The sequence below is a fragment of the Homo sapiens genome, chromosome 9, assembly GCF_000001405.40.
Source record: "Homo sapiens chromosome 9, GRCh38.p14 Primary Assembly".
Taxonomy (NCBI): Eukaryota; Metazoa; Chordata; class Mammalia; order Primates; family Hominidae; genus Homo; species Homo sapiens.
The window spans coordinates 38,020,387-38,044,839 of record NC_000009.12 but is presented as its reverse complement, the minus strand read 5'-3'; the positions used below and the strand labels follow the sequence as shown (position 1 = coordinate 38,044,839).

The following is a 24,453-nucleotide window of genomic DNA, read 5'->3' as shown; positions in this document are numbered from 1 at the left end:
TGCACGGGGCCTGACCCCAGAGTGGATGCAGGAGTGCTTGTCAGATAAGTGATCTCAGAGAGGTTGATTGAAGAGCCAGTATGCTGTAAAACCCCAATAGTCCCCAAATTGCCAGTAACTCCAACAAGGGAAAAAACCTCCAAACTCCAGTGCCCTCCAGAGCAGCCAAGACTCTACATTTTAGGCTTCTAGTGGCCTCATGCAGGCCTGTGCTGCCTGCCTTTTGGTGTGGTGGTGGGCATTGGAAAGAGCAGCTTTGATTCTCCTCAGTGGCAGGTGGGAGTGATGATTAAAAACAGTTAGTAATTACCACCTCCTCTATGGAGAGCTTTTAGCTGGGGACTTGTGTGTGATCTGCAAAGGATTCAGGACCCATGAGACCTTAGGAGTGCTTCAGCTCCTTCAGCATCATGCTTGGCACATAGTAGGTGCTTAGTAAACGTCTTATAGATGAATAAATGAATTAGATTAGAAAGAGACTTTTCTGGAAAGAGTTGTTGCAGCCAGATTGAAGGGCTGCAAATACCATACTAAGGAGTTAATTGAGCCTTTGGCCCACAGGCAGTGGGACTCCAGGACAGGTTTGTGCAGGGAGGGACGTCTGCACAACATGTGTCGCGCTCACCCCATTATTTGCCCTTTCCGGTGTGACTGAGTTGCCAGATAATGAGGTGTTGGGCTGCACAAAGCGCTTCCTTGTGCTAGAGAGAGGCAGGGCCTGCCTTGAAGCCAGTTGGCCACCGGCCTCCTCCCTGTAATTTATGTGCAGTGGCAGGTTAGAGTGGGCTGCCAGGCAGAACCAGGGCATGCCCGCTTCTCCAGGTCAACACCTTGGTGTGCTGGTTCCAGCATAGGGGCCATGGCCCTGGATTGAGGCCTGGCCCTGAGCTTTCTCTGCCACCAGTGCGTTCAGGGAGAATGGTTTCTTTTCTTAATTTTTTTTTTTTTTTGAGACGGAGTTTTGCTCCTGTTCCTCAGGCTGGAGTGCAATGGCATAATCTCTGCTCACCTCAACCTCCACCTCCCGGGTTCAAGCCATTCTCCTGCCTCAGCCTCCCAAGTAGCTGGGATTACAGGCATGTGCCACCACACCCAGCTAGTTTTGTATTTTTAGTAGAGATGGGGTTTCTCCATGTTGGTCAGGCTGGTCTCAAACTCCCGACCTCAGGTGATCCCCCCGCCTCGGCCTCCCAAAGTGCTGGGATTACAGGTGTGAGCCACTGCACCCGGCCAGGGTGGATGATTTCTATGGCAGGGGAAGGGGGAGCCCCACTGACCCTCGATACCTCTCCCCTCCAGCTCCATGTTCCCAGACTCAGACACCTTGCGTTTCTCTCCCATCTAAAGGTGGCTGCCTTCACAGCGGTGCTTCCAGTGATCACTTTTTCAGGGAGGATGCAACTCACTGCTTTCAGACAGGGAAATGCACAGTTAAGATGTCAGTCCCCAGAATCTAAGTACATGGAGCAGTTATCCTGTTCAAAGGAGGCTGTTGTTTTGTCTTTGTTTTTGGTTCAGTCCCCTATGTGTCTACTAGGTAATATCCCCAGGCATAGGCACAGTGGGGAATGCAGGACAGGGCACTGTGGCATAGGCAGAGAGAAGCTGGGGGCAGAGCATTGGACACAAGGACTTCCACTGCAAAGCAAGACAGGGTGTTGCAGTGTGTCAGATGGATTGATTCTGGGAGAGTAATCTGGGCAGGCTACTTGGAGGAGGTGGTTTTGGTCTGGGCTTGAACACTGGGTAGGGGAAGAATGAAATGTACTCTAGGCAGAGAGCACAGCTTGGCCAAAAGCACGGAGTTTGGCAAGGACAAGTTGGGTCTGGTGAGAAAGGTAGAGGACTGGAGCTCAGAGTGGGAACAGGTGGGGTTGTGGGCGGTCTGGCAGACCGGGGGAGTTTGAGCAGCTCCTAGAGCATGGCCAGAGACTTAGCTGGGTAGTCATGGGTCTGAGGAGTCTCTGTGACTGCAGGGAGTCTGGGAAAGCCCAGAGCCTGGCCTGGCCTGGGGCGGACATTTGGTGGGGATAGTGAGAATTAACAGGAATTCGACTTCGAGGCTGGGCCAGGTCGCCCCAGGAAAGCCCATGCTTGGCCAGGCTGGAATTGGGCCCCTGCTATTCTGGCTGTGGCTGCTGCTTTCTTGGCCCAGCCTTCCAAGAGCCTGTCACAAGTGATTTCCGAGGGAAGCCAACAGAGGAGCATGGTGGAAATGTCACTCCCTTGGAGGTAGATCCCCTCTTAAACACCCAGCTGAAGGTGGAGGCAAGAGAGTGCTAACCCCTGCACCGGCACTTTCCAGCTTGCTTTGAGCTGCCCCAGGAGGCAGAGAGACTGGGGATTCCCCCTTCCCATTTTAGGGTTGGAGAAGTGAACTTCTTGGTCACCCAGAAGTCAGTGAATACCTGAGCGGGACTGGGGCCTCCCCACTCTGGACCCAGTGTGTTACGCACAACACTGCTCCTCAGTAATTAAAGGGCATGTGTGCAGTTTGGAGGTGAGGTTAGCAATTAAACGATAACTGAAGATGATGGGTGATTTCTGGATCTACTAGTACATAGTGAGCTCTTACTGTGTCCCGGGCACCATGCTAAACTCTGCCTTGCTTTGTTGCAGCAACACTCGTGGGTAGGTATTTTCGTTACCCTGATGAGGAGACAGGGGCACAGAGGGTTTAAGTAACATACTTGGTGACCCGGCACAGGACAGATGTGGCAGTCCCACCCTAGGGCCTGCGCTCCAAACCTTGATGCCTTCTGGGCGAAGCCAGACGTCGGCACGTTTCCCCCGTCTGCCCCAGTGCTCCTAGCGTGCTTTATAATTAGAACAGACTGCAGCGCCAGCTAATGACTTCCTCATGAGATTAATATTCAGAAACTCGGGAGAAAATTGAAGAACAAGAAAGGAAATAGGTAGAGAATGAGGTTGTTTCCACTAAGGCCCAAAGCACTATTTAAAAAGTATGTTTGAGAGCCGACTTCGGCTGCGTTTTGGCAATCAGAAGGCTTGCACTGTACCTCTCCTCTGCTTGTGCTTCGGGCATTCAGTACCGGCCCCTGTCACGACCTGTTTGTGGAGGGCAGCTGATCACATCCCTCCTGTCAAAGCATAAGCCTGAACCAGTTCCTCGACTTCTCAGAACCACCAGTGGCTTCCCACTGCCTTTGGGAATAATGTTGAGTTGCTTTAACCTGGTATCCAAATCTCCACCCCACCACCACCCCCAATGAGGTTTTCTCCACCTCCCTTTTCTTCCCCGAACTCACCGAAGTTTTATACCTCTGCACTTGCCTGTGCCCATTTCTGAAGCAGGCATGCCCTTCTCCTTCCCATCACCCATCCAGCCTAGCAAATGCAGGTTTGCCTCAGATCCTGCTAGTTGGCAAAACTCTGTCCCAACGCAGTCTCCCTCTTGCCCCATACCCATAGGTCATGCCTGGGCCTTGCTTGTGACTACCTGGCCCATCTCATGTCATAGTGGTAAGGTCACTTTAGGTCTGAGTCCCTTCCCCATACACAGCCCCCGCCTGACTGGTGGATTCACCGGTGCGTGTGCATGGTTATGGGAAGGGAGCTGGGGTAGAACCTTTACTGGGCAAAGGTAAAATGCAGGCTCTTGATTAGGGAAAAGGGCTTTCTGGGTATCAGGCATGAAGGGGAAAGGCTTGTTTCAGTTTGTGTAGAAAGAGAGAAAAGGACTTGGTGGTGGCCACTTTTGACCCTCCATCCCTGCCCAGAAGAAACTAAGCTGTGGCTTGTTAGCCTGGAGAAGAGGACTTCGGTAAGGACAAATGTCCTCAGACCTTCTCTGCTTGAGTCCCACCAGGTGCACAGTCCTGTGGAAGTTAACTCTAAGCGTCCCTGGGGCAGTATCTTCCACCCCAGCCCTGCCACGTGTCCCCAGTGTGGCTTTATTCCCACCTAACCCCACCCCGCACCCTCCCTTGCCACTCATCTTCCAGAGTGCACATCACACCTCTGCTCCAATACTTTCATGCTTCCTCCATTTATGGCAAAGCCCCAAAGACTTTAGCATCTAGAGCCCTCAAAATCTATCCCCAAACTCCTTTTCTTCATTTTGCTCTATACCTCCCCACAAACTCTGCAACGTTGTAAACTGGTCTCTTGACTGCCACTTTCCTCACTTGCAGCCCCCCCACCGTAGTGTGCCCTATTGCTGATACCCCTGCCTGAGCCCAGGAAAGACCGCCACCTCCTCCAGGAAGCCCTCCCAGCCACTCCAGCACTACCTGCCTGTCTGCCTGCCCGCCCACTCGCTTGCTGTTGGTGGTATGGCATGCAGTGGCTGGGGACAGGGGTAGCTCTTCACTTGAGCAGAGCAGCGGAGCTCTGGCTGACCCTGTGCCCTCTCTGTCCCTCCACTGCACTGCATGGGTGCCGACACATGTCTGGGGAGGCCTCCCTTCCCAAGCCCCCCCTTTAGGGATAACGGCCGGCATTCATGTGGCAGCTTCCCACCGTGGTCTGGTTTCCTCCTCACGACAGCCCTCAGCGGACCATCATCTCTGTCTTACCCTTGAGGCAGCCAAGACTTGCCCAAGGTCACACACATGGCCAGCCAGTGGCGCAGTCGAGGCCACACCCCAGCCTTTCCCCATCGAGTTGTGCCCCCTCTGCTTCTCTGAACCTAATGTTCAGCTGCCATGGACGGTGAGTTCTGAGCCTTGGAAGGAGTCGCCTTCCTGCACACAGCAGATAGCGGCTATGGGGAAAGACCGGCTGACCTGAGGTAGTGTACTAATTTCTGAGGAGGAAAAACCCCCAGGCTTATCCTCCAGAAACAATCACCACAAGAATTAGGCGGCTGTAAACACGCCTGGGGCGCAGCTCTAGAATGCAGTTTCAGAACCCAAATCCTGGGTTCTGGCTTAAAATAAGACTGGGGCCTAGGGATTCATGGAGGGCAGGGCATGGGCCGCCAGACTCCTGTCGAGAGGCCCATTTCTCCTCCTCTCCCCTCGCCCCTCGAGCTCCAGCTGCAAGTTGCCCCAGAGGCCTGTGGCCTACTGGACCAGCCGCTGCCCTCGCTGAGGCAGGAGGGGATGGTGGGCCCGGCCAGCCTGGCCTGGACTCATGAGGGAGCTGAGCTTCCCTGAGGTACTTCTTATATCAGGGCTGTTTCCGGATGACCCCTTTGCTACGTGTTTTACTGCCCTTGTGTGGTCAAGTTAAAGAGGTTGTTCAGGAAGTAGGATTACAACGGGACCTTGTCGTGGCTTTGTAACCTCTGCTCTGTAGATGGCAGGGACTGGGCCCACAGGGAGGGGCCAAGGGTAGTAAAATCCAGAATCTTGGAATCCATTCATTCACATACTCCTTTGCCACAAAGTGGGATGGGTGTGCTTGGCCCCAGGGCCATGACCCCCTTCGGATCTTGCAGACTTCTTGCAAACTTGAAGTGGCAGCAGCACATACAGGCTAATGACTAAGCAGTTCCCACTGCGCTTTAAAGTCTTGCCTTAGGCTTTCAATTGTGCTTATCATTCAAAATGCTCTTTTTTGCAAAAGAGCCCATTTTGTCAGTTTTCTTCTTGTTTAGATTTAATGATTAATCAGAAAAGTGGTTTTTTGTTTTTAGGTTTTTTTGTCTGGTTTGGAGATAACATTGGAGGCTTAACGCCTGACAGCAGTATCTGACAGGGCACTTTATCTTAAGGATGCTTTTCACCATTCCAGCTATGTATTATCCACATTTTTCCGGGGAAGAAAATGTTCTCTGGCGACCCCTTTTTTGTAGTGTAGTGTCCTGGGCTGTCACGCCCGCCCGCCAGCCCTGCCTGATAAGCGATAAGCGTCAGGAGTTCAGAAACATGTTTTTCTTCACGGCTGACAGTCTGTCTCAAAAAACTTCCATCTCCTCACTTCCTCGGGCTCCTGATCCCACCCGCTCCATTCCTGCCTTTGTTCTCTTTGGCACACACTCCCTCTCCGGGGTTCCATCTGCCTTTCCCTACTTCTCCTTGATACCTCCCTGGGGGGTGGCCCCTGCCCACTGTCACTCCCCAACACCCAGTTTCTCCCTGCCCCACCCCCGGGGCCTCCTAGATGCCCAGGCAGCTCATTGGTTGGCCTGGGAAGCGGGGCTGGCTCATGACCCGAGTAGGGAGCAGAGTGGGCTGCATCCCTGTGTCCTGGGGAAGGAGGCACTGGGCTGGGGCAGGAAGGAGTCTGGGAGTCAGGCAGACCCGCTGCTTTCCTTTGCTGTGTGACATTGAGCACATTTCTTAATCTCTCTGAGCCAGTTTCCTCATTTGTAAAATACATTTATTCATCTACTCAGTACCTTACTGTGTGCCAGGCCCTGCATTAGACTCAGGGACCAAAAAGATAAAGTGAACATAGGCCCTGTCCCAGAGTCTCCAGTTTGGGGTGGAGGTGGGGCTTCTTAGTAATCATGGTAAGATGACTCCCTGGGTGTTAGGGAAGGGGAAGTGACAGACACAGATGTGTTTTATGAACCGCAAAGTGCAGTGCACACGTGGAGAGTGTTGGTTCCTGGGGCTCCCAGGTCCATTGCTTTTGTGATAGAACAGGGCCTGCCTTGTGGTGCTCTTAAGTCTGGAGGTCCCCCACGCCTGACCTGACCACGCCTGGTGCCTGTGCGCCCAGCCTGTTGTGTGCTGCTGAGCTCTGGCCTGCATGGAATGGCTGGGCTGGGGCACACATGCATGGGGCGTAGGATGGGGAGGGCAGAGCCGGACAGCCAGACCCAAGCTATAAAGCAGGGTTAGGGGAAGATTCTGGGTGCTGTTTGGAGTTCTCCAAATAGAGTTTGGCCTGACTTTTAAAAACTCTTAGACAATGTGTTAGGAGTTAGTTAAACCACTTTTAGTCAGTAGGAAGAGAGCCAGATTTTAAAAAAAATCTTGTTAGAGTGTGACAGAATGTGAAATGTCACTTTTTAGCTCCTCTTCTAGCCCAGCCACCTTGTGTCATGCCTATTTGTGAGCCTGTGGCTATCCCCCAATGAGCCTGTGTCTCCTGCAGGAAGGACCACTCCTTCTGCTCTATGTTCCAGAGCCCAGCACAGGATCTGCCCCAAGGTCAGCCCAGGGAGGCTGAATGGAGGAGCAGACAGAACTTCAGGGCTCAGAGGAGAGAGGCTCACTTCTAGCGGAGGTGGGGTTCTCAGAATGGTACATGGGGGCTGAATCGATGATAATGACACACAGTTGAGCCCCTCCTGTTGCCAAGCACTGAGGTGGGTTCTGTTACTATCCCCACTTTATAGTGAAGAAACTGAGGCCCAGAGAGGTTGAGCAAACTTCTCAAGGTGACACAGTGTGGATTTCAACCCACATTTCACTCTAGAGCTCATGTTCTCATGTGCCGAGCATTGGAGGTTAGATAGAATTTGAACATGCAGTGATCAGAGAAGAGAGAAGGGCACAGTATGAGTGAAGACCCCCTGGGGAAGTTGGGGGCTGGTGACTCTGCGTGTGACTGGAGCGGGCAGTGGTGGGGGCAGGTGTCGGAAACAAGCTCACAGCCCTGTTGACCATGGGCCTATATGGAGGTAAGATAGGAAGTTTCCAAATGACACGGAGTACTCCAGCAATTGGTACTTTACACAGACTACAGACAAGAGCCCTGTGTGCCATCTCTTTCTCCAGTTCTCTTGTTTGAGCCCACTGTTGTGTCATAAGGAGATCGCAGGATTCTTCTCCGGGAAAAGAGGGAGTTGTGTCAGCCTAGTAGGGCCCAAAGCCAGGCTGTCTACAGGGCAGTACACAGAACTGCTTTTACCCCAGCTCCCGTGCTGCGGGGTCCTGCACCAGTCCCTTGCTCTCTCTGGGTCTATTTTGCTGTCTCTGCAGGGAGGAGTTTCATAGTAGAGTCACTTCTAAGTCTGTTGAGCATAAGATTAAGAGACAGCACCCGAGTTTGAGTCAGGGCTCTGCAACTTAACTGCTTTGGTGACCTTGGACATGTTATCCAGCCACCCCATGCCTTGGTTTTTTTCATCTGTAAAATGGGGACAATATGAGAATCAAATCCATAGGGATGTTGTATTAAAAGAACTGAGCATAGTCCCTGGTAGCTGCTCTCAGTATTTCTTGTATTATTATTCAGCTTCTCCCATCCTTGCTCTCTCAAGTCCCTCACTGTCCTGTGGCTCAATGGAGAGAACCCCAGAGAGTCTGGGGCTCAGAGACTCTCCAGTTATCTCCACTAGCAGAGCTCCTGCTAGGCGGGGGATGCCTGGGTCTGCCCTGTCTTTCGGAGCTCATTTGCTCTGTAGACGTTGAGATCATCGCCGCCAGTGGCCACCCAGCCTCAGCCAAGCTCTTGCAACATTCCCAAGGGCTCTGGGGGTTCCTTGTGCCCAAGTCCTGCGTGGGCAGAGCTCTAGGCAGGCGGCACGTTTTGGCAAGTCTTTAGTGGTGTCATTGGTAAAGAGTTTGCTGTGGCTGCGCTTGTTAGGACTGAAGAAATACAGTTTTTACAGCCCTAACTTTTGTTCCTCCCAGATGCTAATAAACTGTTAGCAATTTTGGTTAAAATGTGGCTGTTTTAGAAATTCATTCCCCTGTTAGTTCTACCTCGTTGAGGTTTGGTCTGGAGAGAGGGCAGTGCCCCATGCGTTAGAGTGGGTCGGGGCGAATGTGGCTGGTGTTTCTCTGGGGTCTTCACCTTATGGGGCAGCAGGGCTTGAGCAAGAAGGCCTGGTATCCCAAGCTCTGGAACAGGAGTTTGGGCCTGTCTGTGCCTGGGTGCTGCAGGGAGAAGATCTTGGGCTCAGATTCTTTGCCTCTTGACTCACTGTATGACCTTGAGCGAGTCACTTCCCCTCGCTGGGTTTGGGAAATCACTGGGGATAATGCTGAGGTTTTGCACGCGCCTGTTTCTGCTGGAGACCAGAGAGTGATTCTCAGTCTTGGATGGATTGTATCCAAGCTCCTAGGGGAGCTTTTAGAAATACTAATCCCAGGCCCCACCTTGGGCCACTTAAATCAGAATTTCTGGGGGCCAAACTTAGGCATGGTGCATTGTAAAAGCTCCCCAGGAGTTTTTCTGATGTGCAGCTATGTTGAGAATCACTGGACTAAACCAGGAGTACTGTATGACCCTCAGGAACCTAAAATATTTTCTATATGGTAATTTACAGGAGAGGGTTGCTGACCTCTCCCTAGATTATCCACTCATGGAAGGTAGACACTGACTGAGCTTTGTCCTTCTGTCCCCAAGACCTACCCCACCGTGGGCATTGCTGAACTTCAGGATGTGATTCTGTGCTTCTCCCATGGCACCCAACCTTTCACATGCCACTGGGGAAAGAGGTGGAGAACCTCTCTCACTGAGCAGCCTGTGAAAGTGAGAGGGAGGGATGCAGTTTTATAAGGTTGGAGCAACCCCTTCAACACTGGCTCCCCTATCCCCAGTCCTATGCTTCAGGGTACCATAAAAATCTCAGGAGGACTATAGAGTTTCTAGTGGCAAAGGATCTCAGTCTAGGTCCTCCTTGCCAAGTGCTCAACCCGCTTCTGCTTGGAGGTCCCCTGTGACAGGGAGCTCACTACCTCCCCAAATACTCTGTTATACTTTGAATAGCTCTGTCTGATCATTCTTCCTGAAATTGAGTTGAAATCTTTTTGAGAACTTCTACTGGTTGGTTCTCATTCTGTTCTCTGATCCCACAGAACACGCCTGCATCCTGTGCCAGGGGTTGACCACTGTCTTGCATGCCCCCAACAGATACCCCTGAATCTTCTCTAGTAGATACCCCTCGGTCCCTTCAATTATGCCCATGAGACGTGGGGGAGAGTCTGGGCTCTTTATCATCCTGGTGACCGCTCCTTAATTAAAGTACAAGGCCCAGGCCGGATGGGGTGGCTCATGCCTGTAATCCCAGCACTTTGGGAGGCCGAGGTGGGCAGATCACCTGAGGCCAGGAGTTCTAGACCAGCCTGACCAACATGGTGAAACACCATCTCTGCTAAAAATACAAAAAATAGCCAGGCATGGTGGTGCACACCTGTAATCCCAGCTACTCTGGAGGCTGAGGCAGGAGAATCACTTGAACCCGGGAGGCAGAGGTTGCAGTGAGCTGAGATCGCACCACTGCACTCCAGCCTGGGTGGCAGAGCGAGACTGCGTCTCAATAAAACAAACAAATGAACAAACCAAAAACATGAAGTACTAGAGAAGATTCAGGGGTATCTGTTGGGGGCATGCAAGACAGTGGTCAACCCCTGGCACAGGATGCAGGCGTGTTCTGTGGGATCAGAGGACAGAATGAGAACCAACCAGTAGAAGTTCTCAAAAAGATTTCAACTCAATTTCAGGAAGAATGATCAGACAGAGCTATTCAAAGTATAACAGAGTATTTGGGGAGGTAGTGAGCTCCCTGCCACAGGGGACCTCCCAAAGAGCTGGACGTGATTCTCCATTGGTCCTTTGGTTGTACAGAGTAGAGGGAGACAGTCTCCTCTCTCATGGTGGATCATAACATCATTATCACTGTCCTTGCAGCCTGTGGTCAGGTTGGCTGTGGGAAGCTGTGTTAGACCACATGAGCACTGCATCACTTTAGTAAAGGTCCCAGGCAGTGGAGGCCTCTGAATTCTTGCATACAGGTGGCAAGTTATTACATTATTTCTTCCTCCTGTCTACCTGCAGTTGGTTTTATGAGGGGCGTTAGTACACTTCCCAAAGGGCTTGCCCGCAGGGTGAGAGGTGCACATTGAACTCCCTCACCAGGCAGATGGGAAGTGTGGCCATGAGAGAGAGCTTCAGGGGCCCTGGGTTTATGACATCGCTGGGCCAGGAATGAGGTTAATATTTTTAATGGCGAAGGGTGAGCCCCGTTATTACCCGAGCTCATTCATCAATGGCAGAACCCGTTTCACCTGTTAAGTGCCCTCGGTGTGGGTAATTCATGAATGGGAATCCAATTTTCTTTTTAAAACCCAAGCCACCTCCCCCTTCTTAAATCCAGGAGGTGGTGCTGGGGGGGTGTCAGGATTTTACAGCAGTTTTTTCCTGGGTAGGAAAGGCTGTGGACAGCTTTGAGGGCCTTTCCTGCCTTACTCACCAAGCAGGCCTGCGTGAGCCAGTCCATAAGACTGAGAGTTATGGAGAGGCTGGGGCTGCAACAGCTCTAGTTGTGGGACCCAGGATAGATGGGAAACTCGGGACCACCTGTTTTATCCTGTTGCCCACTGATCAGAGGATGGGCATAACAAAAATATGGGGAGGGGGAGTGTAACGAGACCACTCAGGTGGACCCTCTCCAAGCCCTTCCGAAATGATTGGTCAACTAGGGCATTGGATTAATTTTAATTTTTATTTTTTGTGGAGGCAGGGTCTCCCTATATTGTCCAGGCTGGTCTCGAACTCGCGGGCTCAAGTGATCTTCCCAAATTCTACCAGCATGAGCCACCGCACCAGCTGGGGTATTGGTTTAAATGTCTCCAAGGAGTACATTTTTCTGGGATCTGTGGGTTGGAAGGGCCCCCTCCCCGAATTGGCTGGCCCCAGTCACTGGTGTTATCCCTGATAAATGGGCATGATCATGGGGCACCCATAGAGGTGATGGGGTGCTCACTTTTATCTTAGGAAAGCATAGGCTTTAAATTATTCCCAGATGCCCCATTGGAGCCAGCACCTGCTTTGAGGGTGATTGCAGGCTAACCATGCTGACCCTGAGGGCCGCCTCATCTCCTTAGATCGTCCAGTCCTCACTGCATTGTGGATGCTTGGTTTTCTAATTCAGCTGGTCTCACCCTAACCAGATGAAAATGGAACCACTTCTACCATAAAATTCCATTTTCTTGCTGGTTCTGATGAGAAAAATCAGGTTTTCTTTACAGTCATGTTTGAAAATAACAACAGCCAGCATATTTTAGCACTTAGTACTTAGTGCATACTGGGCCCAGTACCAGGGCTCACTCTTTCTAGAGAAGCAGGTTTTCCTTCTGGCTGTCATTCCCTCCTCTGCCTGGCACGGGTATGCTTCCATGTGCAGAGGTTTGGTGTTGGGGTCCGGGGCCTCTCCATGGGGACAACTTCAAAACAACGCTGGTGCTCATTCTGTGTAACTTGAAGACAAGGACTGTGCCACGCTGCACTGGCTTTGGTATGTGGGGAAGTAGGATCCCCCAGGCAGGAGGGATACGGCTGGTACAGGGTGGAGGGAGAGGAGAGCTGGAAGCCAGGCTTCAAAGGCTGCAGGCGGAAGCACTGCTTCCCCAGGTGTGGCCCGGGCAGGGCAGGTTGCAGGTGTGCCGGAGTCACAGGGCAGCTGAGGAAGGGGAAGGGAGACTTCCAGCACTCAGCTGACTTAAGGGAGTTGTCAGGTGGCCTTTGCTCACGGTTGGCGCAACTGAGCCAAGCTGGCAAAGCTGCTGCTTCTTCCTGTCAAACTTCCCTTCAGAGATCTCTTCCTGTTGCCCAGAAGGAGCCTGGACTTAGAAACTCATACAACAGGCTGTAGGTAGCCCAGGAGAGCCAGAGCTTTGGGGTGACGCTGGCCTGGGTTGAAACCTGCGTAGCCTTCTGTGCTCTGAGGCCTTGGCAGGGTTCCTAGACATTTCTGAGCTTCGGTTTTCTCATCTGAAAATGAGGTGATTAGGAAGGATGAAATACGATGATGTACGTGAAAGCACAGAGCCAAGAGCCTGGCTTGTAGAGAAGGTGCTCTCTAGGCGGTGCCCCCTCTGTAAGCATCGTCCCTTAGCCTCCTGCCTGTTCTAGTCCTCTAGAACACTCAGGCGCTTGGAGGGTCTGGTCCGAGGTTCTCGGGCCCTGGCACTGGAGGATCCCAGGCTCTGGGACTCAGCCCCCATGAGTCCTGCCCGGTCCCAGGTCTTCACAGAGAAGTGGGTGAAGAGAGAAAGCTGGGTGGTAGGTTGAGGTGTCTTGTGATAGCCAAGTTATCAGCAAGGGGCCTGCCTCCCCTTGATTTACTCATCAGCAGTGGATCAAAGTTTGCTCTTTTGAAATGGGTAAGTCTGGGATTCAGTTCAAGATACCTTTGCCTCCCTTTCAGGATAGAATGTTTCCAGTGGCAGGTGATTTATGACTTTGCATTTGGAAGGAGATTTTACAATGTGCATTAATAAATAAGGGCCATTCTGGGCCCGATTCATACAGCCGTTGTCAAGTGCTGTGTTGGTGTTTCATGGAAACCAGCTCCCGTGATGGTCTCAGATGTCCCCTTAAAGCGGAAGGGACACAGGGTGGGAAGAGGGTCTGGAAAAGTCAGTGCTCTTAAGCAATAACATGCACACCAGACCATTGACATCATAGGAAGGCTTGGTTTCTAAAGTAATACTAAAAGGACTGAAACACTCACCTGGGGTAATGCTTCCCTAGAAAGCATGGTGATCTCCAATGAAATTAGAAAAATGGACGGTTAGGGGTTTCTTATGAAGCTAAACTTACTCACCTTAAAGGACTATGCTTTATTCTCAATTTCCTTTTTACCTTTTTACTGTTAAATTGTTATTGTCTTTATCTTTTTTCGTTTGATTTTGTTTTGTTTTGTTTTTTGAGACATAGTCTCTCGCTCTGTCACCAGGCTAGAGTGCAGTGGCGAGATCTCGGCTCACTGCAACCTCTGCCTCCCGGGTTCAAGCGATTCTCCTGCCTCAGTCTCCCAAGTAGCTGGGATTACAAGCACACACCACCACGCCCAGCTAATTTTTGTATTTTTAGTAGAGACGGGGTTTCACCATGGTTGGCCATGATGGTCTCTATCTCCTGACCTCGTGATGCTCCCACCTTGGCTTCCCAAAGTGCTGGGGTTAAAGGCATGAGCCACCATGCCCAGCCCTTTCCTTCATAAAATGTGGGTGAAGACAGATGGCGGTTGGGTTCTTTTAGTGTGCGTGATCTTGTCTTTCCCCCCTTTTTTTTTTGTATAATTTTTTTGTATAGTAGTCCATGAAATCCAGGATTCTGGCCCTAACAACCCACTCTACCCATTCTACAGATGGGGAAATTGAGGAGCTGATAGAATGACTTAGCTAATGGTGCCCTGCTGGCAAGAGGAGGGGATTACAGTCTGGGCCTCAAGCTCCCCATGGAAACTTCTGGATGTTGGTGTTTGGGGAGGGGTCATCACGATCAGCTACATAATTTGCAGGGCCCATCCCACAAAAAATAAGAATGTGAGGCCCCTCATTTAAAAATTATTAAGAATTTCCAAATGGTGATGGCAGGCTGTTAAACCAAGTGCAGGGGCCTTTTGCGACTGCACAGGCCACTCACCTGTGAAGCTAGCCCTGGAAACTATAAACATCAGTCCCTGATATACTGGCATTTAAAAATAAGAACCTAATGTTCTTAACCCCAGAAATAAAGTGCATTGGGCCCGGCCTCTTAAAATCCCCGTTATGCCTGACTTAGAGCATTTCCTCTGCTCTCTGCAGCCCTTTGTGAGGAAGCTTGAGGTTAGAGAAAGCAGCAAGTGGGAGGAATCGCAGCAGTGAGGCCTCTTATATACCTGGAGGAAAGAGGTGGGCAGGTGGTGTTTATCTGGGCTCATTTTGCTGTGTCGTCTACAGAGTGTGCGCTCTGGGGGCTCAACATCTCTGAGGGGGGAAGTTGTACATGGTCCAGGACTAATGGATCTGGGGTCCCCTGCCCCAGGCCAGACCTGTGTGGGCTTGGTTGGGTGGGCAGTTGCTCTCTGACTGGGAGCAGCAGCTGGTGTGATAGCTGGGTCCAGCCAGATAGCTGGTTCCATTGGCCACAGCTGCTGGTCATGCCCTCACTGGACTTTGTGGTTTAGGGCAGACTGCAGCCCTTCTCCCTTTCCCCACTGGCTGTGAGAGTACACCCACATCCATCTCGCAGTGATGTGGAGAAAACCAGTTGCAATGCATGCTGTTGTGCTGAAGCATATGGGAGTGTGGGCATACTTGCTTGTGTACACGCATGCACGTGTACATCTAGGTGCAGGGGCAGATGCTGTGCAAATGTGTACACATTTACTTATTTATCAAATACTTCAGCAGTGCTTACCATGCATATTGGTCTAAGCATTTGACAAATACTAACTCATTTAAATCTCATAGCAGGCCGGGTGTGGTGGCTCACACCTGTAATCCCAGCACTTTTGGAGGCTGAGGCAGGCGTATCACTTGAGGTCAGGAGTTCGAGAGCAGCCTGGCCAACATGGTGAAACCCTGTCTGTACTAAAAATACAAAGATTAGCTGGACGTGGTGGCGTGTGCCTGTAATCCCAGCTACTCGGGAGGCAGAGGTGAGAGAATTGCTTGAACCAGGGGATGGAGGTTGCAGTGAGCCTAGATCACGCCATTGCACTTCACCCTGGGCAACAGAGCGAGATTCCATCTAAAAAATAAACAAATTAAAAAAAAAAATCTCATAGCAACCCCATGAGGGTAGGTCTTGGTATTATTCTCATTTTATAAATGAGGAAATGGAAGCACAGAGAGATCAAGTATGTCATGTAAGTTGCCCAAAGTCATGCAGCCAGAAAATGGGCAAGCACTTGAGTAAAACCTTGCTTGTCTATACTGTTGTATGAATTGTCCCTTATTGGTAGGACTTCTGGCTTTGCCCTGGAGAGAAATGGCCCCATAGACCCTCTGTAGATTAATTTGCTCATTGACTCCCCCAGCATTTACTCACACCCCTTTATGCCAGGCTGGGGCTGGGCAGAGTTGATTGGACCACTTGGTGTTGAAAGCTTTGGGCCTGGTGGAGATTTCAAGGCAAAGGCTGTGGTGGACTAGAATCATTTACATGTTTACAAATAGGCTTCTGGCTAGGATGCAGTAAGGGGTCCAGGGCCATGAAGGGAAAGCTCCAGGAGCAAGGAGGGTTCCCTGGGCCTGGGAAGCTCGGTGGTCCTGTATCCACTTGTCCATGCCCTGGCCCTGGAGGGCTTGATCACAGAGGAGCAGCAGGCAAGGTGCCCCCTCACCCTCACCCTACCACCCCGTGGAATGGCAGGTGACCAGGGAGGCAGAGAGCATGCATCTGTGTGCTGTATTTCATTTCTTTCTGGTCCTTTTTCTATGGATATAAACACATTTCTTTGATGTTATATTTTAGAAAAATGGAATCCTTTTATAAGTACTGTTTTGAGACCTGATTTTGTCAATTGCTGAGATGCCAGAAAGGATTTTGTTTTAATGAATAAATAGACTCCTTAACTTCTTTCACTGGCTGTTAGTATGTCTCCTCAGCTAACTCAGCCTGCGCTGGAGCTGGCCTTGCCGGGTTAGAGGTGCCACAGGCCTTCTGGCTGGAGTTCCTCTTCGCAATTCTGGTGTGGCCTGAGCCATATTTGTTTGCACAAAGGAGGAGATTGGTTTTAGAGGCAGTCAGGAAGGGTATCACTGAGGGTGGCTTGCTTCTCTGTGTGTGGGGTTGTGAGCAAGCCTGGGTTTCCAGCACCCCAGCTGCAGGGTGATGAAATGGGCACACCGTGGTGTTCTGATTTACCACTAGCCAGTCGTGAGGGACTATGGCCTGGCCCACATGGACTTGCCCCTGAGGCCTTCATAGGTATCACAGGGTGCATGAGCCCGTCCATTATTGGCACAACAGCTCTGGGCCCTCCTTGAAGCTGCCAGGCTGATTGATGTTGCAGGATCTAAAGAGGCCCATAGGGTCCCCATTTGGTTTTGTCCATGTGCTTCCTCGGGGAGGTGCCTGCTTAGTCTCTGGGACAGGGCCCTAGACCAGGAGAAAATGATACTTGGGCTTTGGGAGGGGAGGCAGCCTGCACTAGGGAGGGTGGCTTCTGGGGACTCCTGTGATTCTGCGCAGTCTCCAATGCATTTGCAAAGCCATTATCTGCTTCAAACCCTAGGTGGGAGATGGGGTGTGAGATCCGGGGTAGGAGCCAAGCAGATGGGAGCCCCGCACAGTACCATTGCTTCAGCTGGGTAAACGCACCAGAAGAGACCTCTTGGCTCAGCTCCATCCCTCTCCAGGAGGCACCCCCTGCCCTGGGCAGCAGATGCTGTCAAGACCCACCCTGTCCCTTCTGCCTCCCCAGTCTGGCCTTCTCCAACTGGCTCATCCACATCTCTGTGCCCGAGGGCTTTTCTAGAACATAGGAATGGGAACAGCCGCTCTGCCTACACCAGGAGCTCCCAGGAGTTGGTGCCTGACCCCCAGCTCCCTCACTCTTGGTAAGGTAATTCTGAGGGGTGGGTTGTGCATGGTTTCCCAGAGTTTCCTCTGTCAGATCATGCTCCATCTAGTTGCCCACCATGGGTAGCTGGCTTTGTAACCCAGCTTTCCTGATACCCTTCTCAGGCCCATTTTCCCTGTCCCCGGTAAGTGTCTCCTCCCAGATCAACCACTTGCATTTTAGTGCCTGCTTCAAGGTCTGTGTCTGGGTTCCCCAGACTAAAAGGCATGGCCTGTGGCCTCTAGAGGATAAGAGCAGCATCTTTTCTGTGTTCTCTAGTGCCCTTGTGCCCTTGCCTATGCCAGCATAATGTGACAGGCACTATGTATCCCTTGGTTCATTGACTCAGCTTCTCCTGCACCGCAGAAGGAAGATGTTTTCCCAGTGAAAGTGGGAGGGCTCAGGCTTAGAGAAAGTAGAGCTCCATAGCTGGTGAGAAATTTGGAAGCATTGGAGCTCAGGGCCCGGAATCCACCACCCTGGAGGCCCTGCCCTGCCCTGCCCCTGGTTTCAGCCCAGCACACCTTGCTGGGACCCTGCTGTGCACCAGGTGCTATATTGTAATAAAAAGGAAACAGAGCTCCAGAACCTGCCTTCCTGGTGGAGCGGAAGCAGACAGGCCTACACATAGCTGCAATTCAGGGCAGGGTGGGAAGGGCCCTTCACCCAGGCATTTACTCACCCTGCCTGGCACATGCCAGCCTGCCTTGGGGAGGTGAACTGAATAATGCCCATCTCCCCTGGGGACCTGGAAGCAATGCAAGAGCAGGGGGAGGAGGCCTGCCTTTCCTCTCCTCTGTATCCCCAGCACAGAGCCCATTGCCTGGCACGTGGAGGCACGAGGTGATCGGACTGAACAGCGATAAACACCATCACAGACCTGCTTGACATCGCAAAGCCCTAGCCACCCTAAGTTTCCTGTACATTAGAAAGCGCCGAGTACATGTGAGAAACAGGCCTGTGAGGTTCAGGGTTTCCCAGCCTAGATGACGGCACAGGAGAAAGAGTTCATCAAGGCTTGGTTGCTGGAGGATACAGCATTATTTTAAAAAGTGAATCAGCATTTATGGAGCACCTGGTGTTAAGCGGAATGTAATTGGGAGCCCTCAAACATGGGGCTGGTAATTGTGGCTGATGCTGCCTATCCTCAATAAAGAGAGAGTGACTCTTGGGGAGAGCAGCTGTTTAGTGCTGCTTGTGCCTTAAAGGGGCCTGGCCCAGCCTTTTAGCTCCCCTGTGGGAAATGTGCATGAGTCATCCTAATGGGTCCCGTTCGGGGAGAAATGATCCTTCACTTAGTGCGGGTTCCCGCGCCTCTGCAGCTGATCATTAAAAGGCACTGTGCTGGCCCGATCTCGTGCTCCTCCAGGCCTGAGCTCTTTCTCCCCTTTAACCTTGGCTTCTAGCACAGGAAGCACACACGAGAGAGAGGGTGCACTTGGTGACTCCCGGGCCTTGGCTGGGGCACAGAGGCCTGGCTTTGAAAGGTACCACATTGCACAGGAAAGGCCTTTGGCTCACAGGCGCTGCTGTTTTGCTTTTACATACTTTTCCTGTGAGCACACTGGAAGTTATTCTTACTGTACAGAGCCTTACGTTACCGTGAGAAAGCCTCACGGGCATTCCTGATCCTTCCTTGGGAAGGGGGTGGGGGACCAACAGGCTGTGCCTATCAGAAGCAGAAAAATGCCTCGAATTAAGCTGTCTAAAACCAGTTTGGGAGGCACTCTGTAAATATGTAGTTCAACAGATGACATAGGTCCTCTCCTGGTTGGGATTTGATGGGAGTCTAGTTCTGTCACCCGCTCAGGAGTGTTCTGCTGTGTCATTTGTTACTTGGAGCCTCTGGTGGCTCCTCATCAACATGGGGAGGGGGATAGTCTGGATTTCTGATGTCCAGGTGACCCTGGGCAAGACCCAGACTCTGCAGGCTGGATGGTGTGTTGAGCTGATGGTGATCACACCTGACACTGAGCACTTGCTGTGCACCACCCTGTTCCGAATACACCATGTGCGTTGGCTCAGGTAGGCCTTGCCCCATCCTCATTTCACAGATGAGGAGGGTGAGAGCAGAGGGCTAAATGATTTGTGGAACCATCCGGCACCTGTGACCCTGAGCTTAACTAGTACCTTCCCCTTACCCTTCCAGCCTTCAGCTCCGAAGGAGAAAGGAGAAGAAAATCTTGCTCTTACTCTTCGCGACCAGGGCTGGTCTGAGAGCTGGCTTAGTAACCAGCTTTCCTGATACCCTTCTCAGGCCCATTTTCCCTGTCCCTGGTAAGTGTCGCCTCAGGCCCCTAGGGGAGCACTCGTACCCCCTAGAGCAGGAAGCCTGAGAGGAAGGGCTGTCTGGCAAGGTGGACAGAGGTTGATGGAGTCTGCAGGAGAGCTGAGCAGAGCCAAGTAGGAGTTGAGGGGAGAATGAGGGGCGGCTAAGTCAGTGGCTCCATGGGGACCCAGCCTGGCCCGGAGCCCACCTCCCACAGAGAGCTGTCCACAGCGATGGGTGGTTGGTCCTTGTAAGGGGAGGTAGGGGGGTTCTTCTGTGAGGCAGTTGTGGTGATTATACTCTGACATTTTTAAAGATGATTTTAAGAGGAAAGTTAGTGGTATAGGCATTGAAGAAATCGTGTGGACCTGGGAGTTTGGAAACATGGGTTGGGTTACCTGGTCCTGGCATTAACTTTACTAAGTTCATCCCCACTCACAGCCTTCTGTCCCCAGTGGATAAATGGTTTTCAAACTATGCATGGTGTCACTTTCTTCAGTGGTGCATGTGTAAGATTCCCTTTGCAGAAATCATGCACACACAAGAGTTTGAGATCTAGCAGAATAGACCATCCCCCAGGGATCCTTTCAGTAGTGGCTGCAGACCCCTCCCCGGGTGTTTTTGTCCTCAGGAGGGATGTGCTGGATTTTCTATCCATAGTCCCTGGCTGAAAGCACTTAAGAAATTCTAGGATTGAGGTATTTCTGAGTTCAAAATAGAACCTCCCACTACTTGAGAGATGCTGAAAAGCCTGTCTCTACCACTTGAGGTTCTGGGGTAAACAGAGGGTGGAGCCAGGCTCTGTTCCCAGCAGCCTCCTACCCAGGACCCACAGCTCACTCTGAGGGGGTGAAGCTGGAAGACAGTGGGCTGTGTGTGTGTGTGACGGAGAGAGAGAGGCTGAGCAAGCAGGCTTGAGAGGAGCTGACAGAGGCTGGAATTTGGAATGTGTTTTTCCTAACAAGTCGGAGCCTGCAGGTGTCTAGGCAAGCAGCTGTGGCCGTGGGAGGGGCAGGACTGGAAAGACCAGTGGTGACCACTTTAACCCCCCACACTCCCAGCCTCCTGACATGTGGGGCAGGTCACTGTCAGGTCTGTAAAGGAGCATTTAGGACAGAACACCTTAGGTCAGTAGAAAAACGGATAGTGGCTGCTGGGAGACAGATTTCAGCTCAGTGTAGGGAAGACACTTTAGTGGTGATGGCCGTCCCAGAGGACTGTGTTGCCACATCATGAGCTCCCTGCCCCTGAAGGCATGTGGGCGGAGTACTTGGCAGGGGCCTTCATGATGCAAGAGGGGGCTTTGAACTTTGAGGCAAGCCAGATCTTAGAAGGTAGAAAGCAAACCAATCCTAAATGGAGTGGAAAACCAACCTCCCCACCGTCTGATTTCCAGCAGTTGCAGCTGAGTGCATGAATGTAGCTAATTAATCTTCCCTAAATTAATTTCCTTACCATGTCAGCAGTGATTTATTGGCGTGCCTATAAGGAGAGTTGGTCTATGATGATAGTCAAAGCTGAGGACAGGAAGAGGCGAGTAGGGGGCGCTTGTGTGTGTACCTGCATGGGTGTCCCATATCCCTGAGTGGTGTAACAGCCTGGTGCTGTGGACCCCTCAGGGCCCTGGATGCTGGCCATAGGCAAGTCACACTTCTGTCTCCCAGCACACAGGCGGAAGTGCCTCGAGAGTTATGAGAGGTTCTCCACCACTTTGCCAGGTGCCCCAACTAGGGCATGAATCTTACCCAAAGCAGGAAAGGGGGGAAAAAAGGGCATTCACAAACATTTTCCTTTTTGTGTTTGAGAAATAGGACAGCTGTTGTCATGCATAATTGTACCCATTTTCCCTGGTAATCACCGGGGCCTTGGCGGGGGTTTCTTTTCACGTCTTTGTCCTGTCTTCCCTACCAGATTTTCATCTTCTCGTGGGCAGAGACCCTGCCTGAAAGTGCTTTTGCCCCTCACCGCACTTACCTTCATCCTGGAGGTGCCATCTGCTCTGTAACAAGGACACGGCCTTTTCTTTATAAATTACTGACACATCCTTGGATCATCTGATTATTTGCTCCTTACAACGTTTATGTGAAGCTGAGAAGGCAAACCACCCTGCTCCACTTCACAGGTGACCTGCCGAAACTCAGAGAAAACAGGTTGCACGGAGTTACCCAGCAAGGGTGTAGCAGAACCAGTTCCAGAGCTCCACTTGCCTGGACTGTCCCTGCCTGGCGGCATCCTTTCTGCACTGCCAGCTGCCTTTCTGTATATTTACATAGCCTCGGGCAGCTGCTGCAGCCCAGCTGCCACCGGTCAGCCTTGGGACTTTGGAAATGCTGCCTGCCTCCGCCATGGCAGGGGTTCTGCAACCCACTTAGCCAGTCCTTAAAGCCAGGGCTCTGCTTGGGGCAGCTCAGACCTCTACGTCCAAGTTGAGTCTGGGCTTTGCACTGTATGTGCACTAGAAAGATACTGAGTGTGGCATCCAGCCAGCTGACCTTCCCCCCAAAGCAGAAGCCCATCTTAGAGCCTCTGTTTGGACACCCCACGCAGCAGGAGCTCCCTTTCCCAGGCAGCGTGTTCCTTTACTGGCTGTCGATGTCTTTCCTGAATCACCTGGCTTGTGTCTGTATGGCTTCTGGGTCTGCACAGAACATCTGTCCACTACCGCTTCTCTGAGCGGCCTCATCATTATTTGAAGCCCTCTCCAGACCCCCAAATCTCTGTTTCTGTAATGTCATCTTTGTTGGCATGGCAACAGAGCCTCCTTCCTGTGGACATCAGGCCCGCTAGGGCCTGTGTTATGGGGGGGTCCCAAAGGAGGACTGGGACTTCAGGCCTCGGAGCGGGGACAGAGGCACTTGTGCTGCTGCTGCCGCCTCACGTCCCCAAATGCTATTTGCTCACCTTCAAGGAGCCCTCCTGACCCTCAGAGCTGGGGAGAGGGCCAGGGCTCCCGGCAAGCCAAGACAAAGAGCCCCAGGCCATCATTCTCTCAGAGTGACCCTCTCACAGTCAATGACAGGCCTGTGTCACACACCAAACCGCATTTTTAGCCAGGTGAATAATGAGTGTTGAATTACGATGCAGTCGACGCGTCGCATCTGTGCACCTGCTGCCTTGCTAAGGTAAAGGAGAGAGTGTCTTGTTTTCACTGTTCATTACTGTGGCCCTAGACAGGGGGGCTTGCTTCATGACCTTCCTATGATGTGCTCAACAACACTCTGTGGGTGTATGTAATGTGATGAGGGGAGGCACAACTTCATCAATGATCATATTCTCTAAGAGATTAGTGGCCCCCAAACTGTTAAGGAAATTAATGTATAGTCTTAAAGGTGAATCAGTGAGAAAATGGTCTGACTGGGAGCATTGAGAACATTCTCAAGTGCATTCATATGCGGTTTGCTTTGGCATAGAGCAGAAGTCAAGGGCCTGGCAAGAATCAGGGGCCTTGTGGGGTGCTGCCCCCTCACTTTCCGGGGAGAGGAGAGCAGCACAGAGACCCTTCAGCCAGCAAGACACTCTCTCCTTTGCCTTAGCAGGGTGGCGGATGTGCAGATGCGACGTGCTGACTGCATCATAATTCAACACTCATTATTCACCTGTCTAAAAATGCAGTGTGGTGTGTGACACAGGCCTGTGCTGTCCCACAGACAGCAGGGCACATGAAGGTGACCATGGGGCAATAGGGACAGTGTGGGCCACTCGATCCTGGAAGACAGCAGCCAGTCTGCCTCTCTCATCATTCTTTTTTTTTTTTTCTTTTGAGACAGAGTCTCGCTGTGTCACCCAGGCTGGAGTGCAGTGGCACGATCTCAGCTAACTGCAACCTCCGCCTCCTGGGTTCAAGCAATTCTTCTGCCTCAGCTTCCCAAGTAGCTGGGACTGCAGGCATGCACCACCACGCCCAGCTAATTTTTGTATTTTTTAATAGAGACAGAGTTTCACTATATGTTGGATAGGCTTGGTCTTGAACTCAGGGTTATCTGACCTCAGGTTATCTGCCCACCTCGGCCTCCCAAAGTGCTGGGACTACAGGTGTGAGCCACCGTGCCCAGCCTCATCATTCTTTTTTATTTTATTTTTATTTTTTGAGACAGAGTTTCGCTCTTACTGCCCAGGCTGGAGTGCAATGGCGCGATCTCGGCTCACCACAACCTCCACCTCCCGGGTTCAAGTGATTCTCCTGCCTCAGCCTCCCAAGTAGCTGGGATTACAGGCATGCACCACCAGGCCCAGCTAATTTTTTTGTGTTTTTAGGAGAGACTGGGTTTCTCCACGTTGGTCGGGCTGGTCTCGAACTGCTGACCTCAGGTAATCCGCCCGCCTCGGCCTCCCAAAATGCTGGGATTACAGATGTGAGCCACTAAGCCCGGACATGCCTCATCATTCTTTTTAGCAGGTTTGAGCAATTTCAGCAGAGATTCCCTTTGCATTTCTGCAGTGGCTCCTCTTCTGAAGTGCCACCAGCCCTTCCTGTAGCCGGGTGATCTTCCTAGAACGAGTTTGCTGAGAGTAAATTGGCCTTGGCCTGAAAGCTGCTGTGGGTTTCAAACAGAAAGCCTTGCCTTGCAAGATCCTCGGGGCTAGGATCCCTGTTGGGCCACCCCCCCACCCCGTCACTTTCAGGGTGGTGACAGGGCAGAAGTCTTTTTTTAAATTTATTTAAATTTTTATTTTCATAGGTTATTGGAGAACAGGTGGTGTTTGGTTACATGACTAAGTTCTTTAGTGGTGATTTGTGAGATTTTGGTAGCCCTCTCCCCCTGCACAGGCCGAATTGCTCAATCTGGAGCCAGCCCACATGATTGCAGAGGGGTTACCATTTCCTCCATGTCTTAGATCCTGGAGATGGCACGTCGGGTCCTCTTTTTCTCCAGTTGACCACCAGGGAAGAAAACAAAAGAGCTGCATGTTAGCACAAACTTCTTGCTTCACTTCAACGAACAGGGCTGAGCAATACCTGGGAAAAGTACAATTCCAGAGTAATATCTGGAGGCTTGTCTCTAGACTGGTGGGGAAGGGTGCTGGCTCTAGCTTATTGTTT

At 51.6% G+C, this 24,453-nt stretch overlaps 1 protein-coding gene across 1 annotated transcript in view, besides 10 other annotated features; it reads left to right on the top strand.

Moving 5' to 3' along the window:
• The window catches only part of SHB (SH2 domain containing adaptor protein B), a 153,330-nt gene that overhangs the window by 24,388 nt on the left and 104,489 nt on the right, over positions 1-24,453 (top strand). The gene's annotated exons all lie outside the window — the stretch shown is intronic.
• Positions 4,738-6,142: an enhancer, noted in NCBI's record as "VISTA enhancer hs2062". NCBI's record gives its function as "enhancer in: heart[6/9]" and the evidence as "EXISTENCE:transgenic organism evidence [ECO:0001131][PMID:17130149]".
• Positions 6,421-7,026: an enhancer, noted in NCBI's record as "H3K27ac-H3K4me1 hESC enhancer chr9:38037811-38038416 (GRCh37/hg19 assembly coordinates)". NCBI's record gives its function as "activates a minimal SCP1, AML or CMV promoter by ChIP-STARR-seq in naive H9 embryonic stem cells {active_cell/tissue: H9 hESC(naive)}" and the evidence as "EXISTENCE:reporter gene assay evidence [ECO:0000049][PMID:30033119]".
• Positions 12,267-12,768: an enhancer, noted in NCBI's record as "H3K4me1 hESC enhancer chr9:38032069-38032570 (GRCh37/hg19 assembly coordinates)". NCBI's record gives its function as "activates a minimal SCP1, AML or CMV promoter by ChIP-STARR-seq in primed H9 embryonic stem cells {active_cell/tissue: H9 hESC(primed)}" and the evidence as "EXISTENCE:reporter gene assay evidence [ECO:0000049][PMID:30033119]".
• Positions 14,199-14,698: an enhancer, noted in NCBI's record as "H3K4me1 hESC enhancer chr9:38030139-38030638 (GRCh37/hg19 assembly coordinates)". NCBI's record gives its function as "activates a minimal SCP1, AML or CMV promoter by ChIP-STARR-seq in primed H9 embryonic stem cells {active_cell/tissue: H9 hESC(primed)}" and the evidence as "EXISTENCE:reporter gene assay evidence [ECO:0000049][PMID:30033119]".
• Positions 15,875-16,044: a silencer, noted in NCBI's record as "fragment chr9:38028793-38028962 (GRCh37/hg19 assembly coordinates)". NCBI's record gives its function as "represses an EF-1alpha promoter that drives an FKBP-Casp9 reporter gene in an ReSE screen in K562 erythroleukemia cells {active_cell/tissue: K562}" and the evidence as "EXISTENCE:reporter gene assay evidence [ECO:0000049][PMID:32094911]".
• Positions 16,756-17,264: an enhancer, noted in NCBI's record as "H3K27ac-H3K4me1 hESC enhancer chr9:38027573-38028081 (GRCh37/hg19 assembly coordinates)". NCBI's record gives its function as "activates a minimal SCP1, AML or CMV promoter by ChIP-STARR-seq in naive H9 embryonic stem cells {active_cell/tissue: H9 hESC(naive)}" and the evidence as "EXISTENCE:reporter gene assay evidence [ECO:0000049][PMID:30033119]".
• Positions 17,265-17,773: an enhancer, noted in NCBI's record as "H3K27ac-H3K4me1 hESC enhancer chr9:38027064-38027572 (GRCh37/hg19 assembly coordinates)". NCBI's record gives its function as "activates a minimal SCP1, AML or CMV promoter by ChIP-STARR-seq in primed H9 embryonic stem cells {active_cell/tissue: H9 hESC(primed)}" and the evidence as "EXISTENCE:reporter gene assay evidence [ECO:0000049][PMID:30033119]".
• Positions 17,774-18,283: an enhancer, noted in NCBI's record as "H3K27ac-H3K4me1 hESC enhancer chr9:38026554-38027063 (GRCh37/hg19 assembly coordinates)". NCBI's record gives its function as "activates a minimal SCP1, AML or CMV promoter by ChIP-STARR-seq in naive H9 embryonic stem cells {active_cell/tissue: H9 hESC(naive)}" and the evidence as "EXISTENCE:reporter gene assay evidence [ECO:0000049][PMID:30033119]".
• Positions 18,284-18,792: an enhancer, noted in NCBI's record as "H3K27ac-H3K4me1 hESC enhancer chr9:38026045-38026553 (GRCh37/hg19 assembly coordinates)". NCBI's record gives its function as "activates a minimal SCP1, AML or CMV promoter by ChIP-STARR-seq in naive H9 embryonic stem cells {active_cell/tissue: H9 hESC(naive)}" and the evidence as "EXISTENCE:reporter gene assay evidence [ECO:0000049][PMID:30033119]".
• Positions 22,865-23,374: an enhancer, noted in NCBI's record as "H3K27ac-H3K4me1 hESC enhancer chr9:38021463-38021972 (GRCh37/hg19 assembly coordinates)". NCBI's record gives its function as "activates a minimal SCP1, AML or CMV promoter by ChIP-STARR-seq in naive and primed H9 embryonic stem cells {active_cell/tissue: H9 hESC(naive and primed)}" and the evidence as "EXISTENCE:reporter gene assay evidence [ECO:0000049][PMID:30033119]".